We start from the raw sequence: 11,728 nt of genomic DNA, 5'->3' as shown, positions 1-11,728 counted from the left end.
TTGCTGAACCTCAAGACACAGATGTACTAAGGCTTAGCCACAGTGAACAGTTGCCCAGATCTTTCATCTAACTCCAAGGAGATTTTTATCCATCTCCTTTTGGCTGAGGAGGACTAACAACTCCCTTTACATTTCTAATCAGTTCCAGAGACATGGGGTCTTTGTTAGTGTTTTTTAAAAATATCGATCACTTTGAGCAATTGAGGAAATATTCATTACCAAGGCAACAAATATAAGTGCTCCTCTCGAAGCCAAAAATATTCCAAAGGTCTGTAGGCTGAAGTACATAAGGCTGTAGGTCTGCAGGCTGTTTTCATATATCAAATATACCAAAGGTCTGTAGGCTGTTTTCATTCAAAATTATGTAAAGCATCCTATCAATAAAATGCAGAACTGCACATGGGAATGACTGTCAATCCTGGTACATGTCGCACGTTATGAAATCTGCCAGTGGCCAAATAAAGACTGTGAAATGCTTTGAGCTTCTCAGAAGAAAGCCACTAAAATTACCAGGAGTAAATCGGGGACATTATGCAGTTAAAGGGGACTTTTTGTTTCCATAATGCTTTGCAGCTATGAACTGTTCTTCTCATATTGTGATCCTGGGTAGTAGCTCCACTTGGAGTTTCACTGCTTAAACAGAAGATAATAAAATTGGAGAACAAAATGACACCCCAAGGACATACATATGGTGAGTTCTATGTTAACACAAACCAGAGCTAAAAAAGGGGTCTGGGACTGGGAGGTACCAAAGAAGTTTGATTAATGTAGAAAGCCCACCTGCATAATTAAAGCAAACAAACTGAAGAAGCAAACAAACCCCCCACCACTTCACATCTATAGGATTGAACTTTGCCAGATTTTCATTTCACTTTGTGGTTGGTAGGAACTCAGATGGAGGCTCATCTTTTTAAAGCAAAAATCAAACACCCAGGAGAGTTATGTGACGTGCGAGGCTTAGCAGACAAGCAGTAGAGGTATACTTAAACACTTGCAGGCCTGGAAAGTCTAAGATGGAAAAAAAGGAAAGCAACACTGCGGGGCTTCTTGTCCTGCAGCTCTCATTGAACAGGCTGAGCAAAAACAAAACAAAACAAACAAAACAAAACAAAATCCCTGACCTGGAGGAAAAAGACTTTGGAGTGTTCAGGCAGGAGTCAGAGATGAACACGCACTTTGCTTGAGCTCTGCAGTGCCAAGTGGCCCCAAGGAAATTAGGGTCAGGAGGAAAGATATCTCTGACTCTGGAGTTTAGACTGTAATGCCAGCTCTCTGTAGGCCTGGGAGGCAGGGGGCTGAGCAGAGACAGAAGAATGGTCACTGAACCCACAATCCCTTTCCCTTTATTTCCCAACATCTTTTCTGTGTTATACCCAAAGCCATAAAGAAATGGGTCCTTCACTAGCCAAACTATGACCTGAGACTTATTTTCATTCTTAGTGAGTTAGCTTAAGATTGATAGCCAACATTTCCTCTGTGTAAGCAGCACATTCCATAACAAATCCAAGAATAGCAAAACAACAATACAACATCCTTTGGGTGGGAATAGATGACAAAAGTACTTTTGTAAACTTGAGAAAAAAACTTGAAAAACATGATTGTCATCATATTAAAAAGAAAAAGAAAGAGAAAAAAACTCCTGTAATGTTCATATAATCTAAATTTCTAAATTTTAAAATATAAACAAATACATTAGAGGGGAAGTTCCTCAAATTGATAAAAAACATCTACAAACATCTATATCTAATATACTTACTTGTGAAAAACTGAATGCTTCCCCCTGAGACCAGGAGAAGGCAAGGATATCCACTCTCATCACTTCTTCTCAACATAGTGCTGGAAGTTCTAGTCATACAACAAGGCAAGAAAAAGAAGTGAAAGGGATACAGATTAGAAAGAAAAAAAAACTACCTCTATTTTCGGAGGAAATGATTACATAAAAATCCCAAAGAATCTACTACCAAAAAAACTCCTAGAACTAATAAATGAGATCAGCAAGCTTACAAGATACAAGATAAACATACAAAATGTAATTGCTATCAATGAATGCAATGAATATGCAGACATGGAAATTAAAAATACAGTAACATTTACAATTGCTCAAAAATGAAATACCTAGGTATAAATCTAACAAAACTTGTATGGGACTTTGTATGCTGAAACTACAAAATGCTGATGAAGGACATCAAGTAAGACCTAAGTAAATGGAGATATATATACTATGTCCATGGATTGGAAGTAATGAATATAGTAAAGATGTCAATTCTGCCCAAATTGATATACAAGTCTAATGCAATTTCTATCAAAATTCCTGCAAAATTTTTTGTAGATATAGACAAAATTATTATAAAATTCCTGTGGGAAGGTAAAGGAACTAAAACAGCCAAAACAATTTTGGAAAAGAAGAAAAAAGGCAGAGGAATCTATCTATTCAATTTCAGGACTTACTATAGAGCTACAGTAATTAAGACTGTGTGTATTGGTGGAAGGACAGACACATAAATCAAAGGAACTGAGTTAACAACCCAGAAAAAGAACGATTCAAATATAACCAACTAATTTTTGATGAAGGTGCAAAAACAATTCATTGGAGCAAGAACCACTTTTTTTCAACAAATTGAAAAACAAAGCAATTGGACATCCATAGGCAAAAACTGAACCCTAAACCTAAGTCTCACATTTTATACAAAAATTAACTCAAAATGGATCATAGATTTAAATTTGAAGTGTAAAACTGTAAACTTTTAGGAAAAAATCTTCAGGGCCTAGGGCTAAACAAAGAGTTGGACTTGACACATAATGCATGATCTATCAAATTAAAAGTTGATAAATTTCTCTGCATCTAAACTAAAAACTCTTGCTCCATGAAAGACTCTATTACAAAGATAAAATGGCAAGCTACAGAGTGGTAGAAAGTATTTACAAACCACACGTCTGGCAAAGCACGAGTATCTAGAATACACAAAGAATTTTTAAAACTCAACAGTAGAAAAGCAAACCATCCGGCCAGGTGTGGTGGCTCATGCCTGTAATCCCAGCACTTTGGGAGGCCAAGGCAGGTGGGTCACTAGGTCAGGAGATAGAGACCATCCTGGTGAAACTCCGTCTCTACTAAAAATAAAAAAAAAGTAAAAAAATTTAAAAAATTAAAAAAAATTAGCCGGGCATGGTGGTGGGCACCTGTAGTCCCAGCTACTCGGGAGGCTGAGGCAGGAGAATGGCATGAACCCAGGAGGTGGAGCTTGCAGTGAGCCGAGATCCTACCACTGCACTCCAGCCTGGGCGACAAAGCAAGACTCCATCTCAAAAAAAAAAGTAAACCATCCAATTACAACATGGCAAAACATATACACAGACATTTCACTACATAATATATAAAGCTGGAAAACAGGCCAATGAAAAGATGTTCAACAGTATTAGCCATTAGGGAAATACAAACTAAAACCACAGTGAGCTATCACTATACTCCAATCAGAATGGTTAAAAATTTTAAAAAGTGACACCACCAAATGCTGGCAAGGATGCAGGAAAACCGCATCACTCATACATTGCTGGTGGGAATGTAAACTCATATGGCCACTCTGGAAAACAGCGTGGTAGTTTCTTAACCATCTAAACAAGTAACTACCACACAACCCAGTAACTGCATTCTGGGCATTTATCCCAGAGAAATGAAGACTTGAGTGCACACAAAAGCCTGTGCACAAATGTTTATAGCAGCTTTATTCATAATAACCAAAAACTAGCAAGAACCCAGATAACCTTCAGTGGATGAGTGACTAAACAATCCGGGATACATTCATACTATGAAATACTACTGAGCAATAAAAAGAAATGTGCTGGCCACGTGCGGTGGCTCACGCCTGTAATCCCAGCAATTTGGGAGGCCGAGATGGGTGGGACACCTGAGGTCAGGAGTTCGAAATCAGCCTGACCAACATGGTGAAACCCCATCTCTACTAAAAATACAAAAAATTAGCTGGGCGTGATTGTGCACACCTGTAGTCTCAGCTACTCAGGAGGCTGAGGCAGGAGAATCACATGAAGCTGGGAGGCAGAGGTTGCAGTGAGCCAAGATCGTGCCATTGCACTCCAGCCTGGATGACAGAGCAAAACTCCATCTCAAAAAAAAAAAAAAAAAAAGAAAAAAAAAAGGAATGTGCTGTTGATACACACTGCAACCTGGATGAATCTGGAGAATCATGCTGACTGGCATAGATCAGTCCTAAAAAATTACATACTGAATGATTCCATTTATATAACATTCTAGAAAGGACAAAATTATGGAACTGGAAAACACATTTGTGGTTGTTGGGGGTTAAGGCAAATGGGATCTCACTGAACTACTGCTTAAACTGCATGTGAATCTACAATTGTCTCAAAATGAAAAGTTTAATTTAAAAAACTGTCACGGAAGAAAAACCTCTCTGTGAAGCTTACAGCACTATCTCCTTTCCCAATTATCTTCAAAACTATAAGTTGCATTTTGGGGACAGAGTGTTCATCAAGATAAATTTGTTAATAGCATTCTATTAACAAATTTAATAGCATTGAACTTTTGTTTAAAGGAACAGTCTTTTCCAACTGCAAATACATTGTCCTTGCTCCTAAACAGTTCTTTTATTTATTTATTTATTTATTTATTTTTATTTTATTTTATTTTTGAGGCAGGGTCTCAATCAGTCACCCAGGCTGGAGAGCAGTGGCACGATCATGGCTCACTGCAGCCTCAACTTCCCGGGCTCAAGCAATCCTCCTGCCTCAGTCTCACAGGTAGCTGGGACTGCAAGCATGCCACCACGTCGGGCTAATTTTTGTATTTTTTGTAGAGACAGGGTTTCACCTTGCTGCCCAGGCTGGTCTTGAATTCTTGGGCTCAAACTCTCTGCCTGCCTCAAGCATCTCAAAGTACTGGTATTACGTGAGTCACTGAACCTGGCCTCTTAAACATTTCTTTAGGTGAATTTTGAAATGATACACTTCAAAATGAGTTGTATCTGACAATGATTGAAATAACATTTTTTTAATCATAGGGAAAAAAGAAACAACAGTTATCCTCCAAGCAAGTTAGTTTTAATAGGAAATGTGCAAATATTAAGTAGTGTGCTCTTGGCACGACATTTTACATTAATTCTTCATTTTATGTATGTAGGAATTTGCATACCAGAGTTTTACCCTGGAAGCGTTGCCAAAATTTCCTTCTTGTCTGAGGTCCAAAGTTTCTGGCTGGAATTTTATAACAAAACATGCATTGTTTCCACTGGGGTTTATACCAGAAATAATTAGGTAAAATGGTGGTATAATAAAAACAATGCAGCTTTTGTAAATCATTGTTGCTAAACTTCACAACTTGCAGTGTTTGAAGAACTGAACTAAGTTAGCTGCTGCCGATTACCAGGAGAAACCACGACTGACATATAAGCACCTTTATTTGGTTTGATTACCAGTTTTAGAAACCTGTGACCCAAAACACTGTCGATTCTCCACATTTAATTTTTTATTTACTATCCTCCCTGGAGTAGATCTGAGGGTTAACAAAATGCTTGCAAAGCACTTTCAGGTGATCAAAGGAAAGTACCTAAGTAAAATTCCACTTAGCCAGAATAACAACAAATCAGTTAAAATTAAAAATTTAAATACATATACACGTGTTGCTTAACGACAGACACATTCTGAGAACGTCATCATTAGGTGATTTTGTCATTGTGGGAACATCATAAAGTGCACGTCTGTAAACCTGGATGGCGCAGCCTACTCCACGCCTAGGCTACACGGTGTAGCCTATTGTTACCAGGCTACAAACCTTTACAGCGGGTGATTATACTGAATACTGTAGGCAATTAGAACACAATGGTAAGTATTTGCATTTCTAAACATAGAAAAGTTGCAGTAAAAGTATGAAAAAAGATGAATAGACTGGACATGGTGGCTCACGCCTATAATCCCAGCATTTTGGGAGGCCGAGGTGGGCAGATCACATGAGGTCAGGAGTTCAAGACCAGCCTGACCAACATGGAGAAACCGCGTCTCTACTAAAAAAAAAAAAAAAAATGGAAATTAGCGGGTGTGGTGGCGCATGCCTGTAATCCCAGCTACTCGGGAGGCAGAGGCAGGAGAATCGCTTGAACCTGGGAGGCGGAGGTTGCGGCGAGCCGAGATCACACCATTGCACTCCAGCCTGGGCAACAAGAGCGAAACTCCATCTCAAAAAATAAAAATAAAAAAAGATAAATAATGGTCCACCTATATAGGACACTTAAACATGAATGCAGGTTGCAGGACTGGAAGTCACTCTGGGTGAGCCAGTGAATGAGTGAATGTGAAGGCCTCGGACATTCCTGTACATGACTGTAGATTTCATAAACACAGCACACTTAGGCTACGCTAAGGGTATTTTTAAAAATTTCTCTTTCTTCAGCAATACATTAACCTTAGCATCACACAAGCACACGAGTAATGCATTGCACTTTGACATTATGACAGCTATGATCACTAGGGGATAGGAATTTTCAGCTCTGTTATAATCTTATGGGACCACCCTAGCATATCTATCTATTACCAAAATGTCATTATGCAGCATGATTGCATATAATTTAAAAATAAATGATGCTTAAAAATTTTATAAATATGAAACATCTTCAGAACAGCTGAATTTTTTAAAAGATTAACTTTAGATTATCTTATGATATTTTACTTTTTTGAAAATTGGTTACCCAAATTTATTGTCTAATTTGGTGCTACTCAAAGTATGGCCCATGGACTGGCAGTATCAGCATCGAGAAGCTTCCTAGAAATGAAAACCCTTGGGTGAAACTATTGAATCAGATTCAGAGCAACCGAATAAGAATCCACGAAGGCCCAAGACTCTGGGTTTCATCAATTCCTCCAGGTGATTTTTATGCACGCTGAAGTTTGAGAATTAGTAATATTAGATCAGTGCTGCTCAAAAGCAATGTACAAGCTAAGGACTGAATTGTTTCCCACTCCCAAATTGATATGTGTAAGCCCTATTCTCCAAGGGGACATCTGGAGACAAGGTCTTTAGGAACTAATTAAGGTCAAATGAAGTCAGAAGAGTGGGGACCTAATCCAATAAGACTATGGCCTTATAAGAAGAGGAAAAGAGAGAGAAATCTCTCTCTCTCTCTCTCTCTCTGCCATGTGAGGGCACAGTCAGAAGGTGAACTTCTCCAAGCCAGGGAGAGGGCCCTCCCCAGCCCCTGACCATGCTAGCACCCTTATCTTGAAGTTCCAGCCTACAGAAGTGTGAGAAGATAAATGTCTGCTGTCTGAGCCACCCGGTCTATGGTATTTTGTTATGACACCCTGAGCAGATCATTACAGTACATGAGAACCATCTAGGGACCTGGTTAAAACAGATTATTGGCCAGGTGCGGTGACTCACGCCAGTAATCTCAACACTTTGGGAGGCCAAGGCGGGCGGATCACAAGGTCAAGAGATGGAGACCATCCTGGCCAACATGGGGAAACCCCATCTCTACTAAAAATACAAAAATTAGCTGGCGTGGTCGTGCGTGCCTGTAGTTCCAGCTATTCAGGAGGCTGAGGCAGGAGAATCGCTTGAACCCAGGAGGCAGAGGTTGCAGTGAGCCAAAAGCACGCCCTTGCACTCCAGCCTGGCAACAGTGCAAGACTCTGTCTCAAAAAAAATAAAAACAAGAAAAACAAACAAACAAACAAAAAACCAGATTCTTATATTCTTATTCAGTAAGTCAGGGGATGGGGTGGACCTCCCAGGCATTGCCATTTTCCCAGTCTGAGTCCATGAACCAGGAAAATGGCATTGCCTAGGGGACTTTCCATTTCACCTAGAACCAAATTCAAACTGTTCATTTGACCTTCAAGGCCCCACAGATCAGGAGCTCACCATCTCTCTGACTTCATCTTGTCCCACCCTCTCTCTCACCACACTTCGGCTTTCCACCCTCCTGTCTTCTCCCCAAAAAGGCTGGGCTTCCTTTCCTGTTCTTCCTGCCTCAAAACCTTGGCACTTGCCTTGTCTTCTGCCTCTGCCCCTCGCTCTTTGAATGATGGGTCCCTTCTCATTGTTCTTGCTCAGCCCCAATATCTCCTCAGAAAGAACACAACCACCTTGTATAAAGGGACACATCTCCTGTCCCAGATCTGCCACCCCTCCCTCAGCCTTTCCTAGCCTTTGTCTCGATCAGAAACAATTTGGTACTATTATAAATGGTCTGTTATCTGTCTCCTCCACAAGAATGCAGCCTCCACAAAAGCAAACTCTTGTCTCTCTTGTTCATCTAAAAATATTTGTTGGTTGAATAAATTAGGTGATAATCTAACTCCTCATAAGGGTGAAATATTGTAATAATAGGAATACTCCATTCCCTCATTTGTGGGTAAATGAAGACATCAGATTCATGTGCTGGGTGTTTACTGAAGTCCTTATCTTGCCTGGCCCCTGGTTTCGGGCTCCCTGCTGTTCTCTCCCTCATAACCCTTGTTTGTATCTGAGCCAGGTCTGAGCAGGGGAGAACAGACATCCAGAGCTTCAAGGACATCAATTGCTAGATCATGACATCAGTTTTGAAACTGGCCAGGGAAGAGTGCTGGGCCCCACTGCAGCCCCTCAATCAGTCTTCCTCCCCCACTGTCATGACTGAAACTTGCCCCAGCTTTTCAACTTAGCACCATGTCTTCCTGCCTCTAAGCCAAGCCCCGATTCCAGCGTGTGGGGCTGGTGCTTGGACACACTGTCTGCTTTGTGCTCCTGGCCTCCCATGGGATGCTAAATTCCGCCCCCACTGGCTCCTGCCTCAAGAACTACTTGTGGTCCTGCCATGAATGAAAGAATAAATGAATAGATTGCACAGAAACAAGATGCGGTCAGCTCACACCAACTCACTAGAGCCCATGGCACGCATCTCTTTCCACTTGCACATTCAGTGACTTCCTTCACAGTGGGGGCTTGCAATACTCCACACTGGGAGTATTTATACCACGGAAATCAGCAAATGCTTCAAACCAGGACTATGCTTCCCCAGAGACCCAGTTGTTAAACATTTACCAGCACCCCACTGGCTGAAGTCCATCTAACGTGAAAAAGCTTCTGCTCTCTAGAGGCCTCCTGCTGCTCTGCAGAACGATCCAGAGGAATGTATCACGGGGAGGCCTCCATCCATCCCCCACCACCCAGGCCTGCATTACCTTGGGCAACTGCCCGCTCAAATTTCTGTTCCTGATTCCTGCAGCCAGGTTATTTAACCGCACTCCTCGCCCCTTGAATCCTCGCACCGTACGCGCTTGCCTTAGTTCACGCTGCCCTCACAAAATACCTTAGACTGGATAATTTATAATAATAGAAATTTATTTTGCACAGTTCTGGAGGCTGGGAAGTCCAAGAGCAAGGCACTGGCAGGTTCAGTGTCTGGTAAGGGCTTGCCTTCTGCTTCCATGCCGAGCTCTCAGGTGGCTGAAGACATGAGTGCTGTGTCAGCCTATACCAAAACAGCAAAAAGGCCCAACAGGCTTCCTTGAGCTTTATGAGGGCACTAATTCCACTCAGGAGGACAGAGCCCTCATGATCAAATCCTAAAACCTCCATCTCCTAACACAATTGCATTTGGTGGGTTTTTCCTTTCTTTCTTTTTTTAAATTTTTTTTTTATTTGATACGGGGTCTCGCTCTGTTGCCCAGGCTGGAGTGCAGTAGCACAATCATAGCTCACTGCAGACTCAATCTCCCAGGCTCAAGTGATCCTCCCACCTCAGCCTCCCAAGTAACTGGGACTACAGGCACACACCACCATGCCCAGCTAATTTTTTAAATTTTTAGTACAGACAGGGGTCTCACTATGTTGCCCAGGCTGGCCTTGAACTCCAGGCTTTAAGCAATCTTTCCACCTCGTCCTCCCAAAGCACTGGAATTACAGGTGTGAGCCATCGTGCTTGGCCAGGATTATGTTATAACATAAATTTTGGAGAGACACAAACATTCATGCCACAGCAGCACCCCACAGATAACCAGGTCTCATTGGCTTTGAGTCTTTAAACCGCATCACAAATTCTGACAAATGTGCTGGGTACTCTACAAGATACTAAGAGAGACACAAAGACCAGCAAAACCCTCAGTGCTTAAACACAACACAATATAATTTCAAGGATACAAAAAAGAAAATCATTAGAGTTAATGTTCACTCTCTTTCCTCCAAAATTCTTTTCAAGATACTTTTCTAACTTTTCACAAACCATAAATAAACAGTTTAGATCACTGATATTATCAAAGGTACTGGCACAGGTATGCAGTCTGTCGACCAGAAAAGAGAAAATGTCTCCAGGTGTCAGAAGGGGAGGCCCAAGTATCACATATTAATTACACACCACTTGGAGACACTCTTTATTCCTGTCCAGTTACATTGAGACCTCTGGTTACCAACTAAGGGAGGGGAAGAGTGATGATCAATAGCATCTAAGGGGCTTTTCATTTTTGTTTATTTATGTATTTATTTTTGAGACAGGGTCTTGCACTTTTGCCCTGGCTGGAGTGCAGTGGCGCGATCTCAGCTCACTGAAGCCTCAATCTCCCAGGCCCAAGCAATCCTCCCACCTCAGCCTCCCAAGTAGCTGGGACTACAGACGCACACCATGAGCCATGGTGCCCAGCCAAAGGGGCTTTTTAGTACTCTGGGCAAGCCTATCTCCTGGTGGCTACTCCCTTTCTTTGTGAAAAGCTGCTGCTTTAAGATATTGCATTGTTTATTCTACATGCGTTTATCTCTTATTTCCACAATTGGATTGTAGGTTCCTTAAAGACAGAGATAGCAGCTTACACATTTTTTTACTTTTTTCGGGCTTCAGCAATGTTGATAACATTAAAATTGGACGGGTGCGGTGGCTCACACCTGTAATCCCAGCACTCTGGGAGGCCGAGCTGGGCGGATCACGAGGTCAGGAGATGGAGACCATCCTGGCCAACGCGGTGAAACGCCGTCTCCACTAAAAATACAAAAAATTAGCCAGCCATAGTGGCGGGCACCTGTAGTCCCAGCTTCTCGGGAGGCTGAAGCAGGAGAATGGCGTGAACCCAGGAGGCAGAGCTTGCAGTGAGCCGAGATTACGCCACTGCACTCCAGCCTGGGTGACAGAGCGAGAGTCCATCTCAAAAAAAAAAAAAAAAGCATTAAAATTAAAATTGTCTATATGTCAAAAAAGAAAAAATAACTTTAAATACATTTTGGTTTTTTAGAGACAGGGTCTCACTCTGTCACCCAGGCTGGAGTGTAGTATAAATACAATTTAAAGGCAGATGACAACATGTTAAATTTATTTGCAACATATCACATCGATAATATAGTCTTAAGACCTCTTATAAGTAATTGGAAAAAAAATGCTTCAGGCACATGCTGCTATAAAGACACACGCACACGTATGTTTATTGCGGCATTATTCACAATAGCAAAGACGTGGAACCAACCCAAATGTCCAACAATGATAGACTGGATTAAGAAAATGTGGCACATATACACCACGGAATACTATGCAGCCATAAAAAATGATGAGTTCATGTCCTTTGTAGGGACATGGATGAAACTGGAAATCATCATTCTCAGTAAACTATCGCAAGAACAAAAAACCAAACACCGCATATTCTCACTCATAGGTGGGAATTGAACAATGAGAACACATGGACACAGGAAGGGGAACATCACACTCTGAGGCCTGTTGTGGGGTGGGGGGAGGGGGGAGGG

General features: G+C 41.5%; 1 annotated feature.

Moving 5' to 3' along the window:
• Positions 5,540–6,080: an enhancer, noted in NCBI's record as "NANOG hESC enhancer chr10:29299789-29300329 (GRCh37/hg19 assembly coordinates)". NCBI's record gives its function as "activates a minimal SCP1, AML or CMV promoter by ChIP-STARR-seq in naive H9 embryonic stem cells {active_cell/tissue: H9 hESC(naive)}" and the evidence as "EXISTENCE:reporter gene assay evidence [ECO:0000049][PMID:30033119]".

Source organism: Homo sapiens, chromosome 10 (genome assembly GCF_000001405.40).
Source record: "Homo sapiens chromosome 10, GRCh38.p14 Primary Assembly".
NCBI classification, from domain to species: domain Eukaryota; kingdom Metazoa; phylum Chordata; class Mammalia; order Primates; family Hominidae; genus Homo; species Homo sapiens.
The sequence above is the reverse complement of the archived record's forward strand: the minus strand, read 5'-3'. Positions and strand labels throughout refer to the sequence as shown.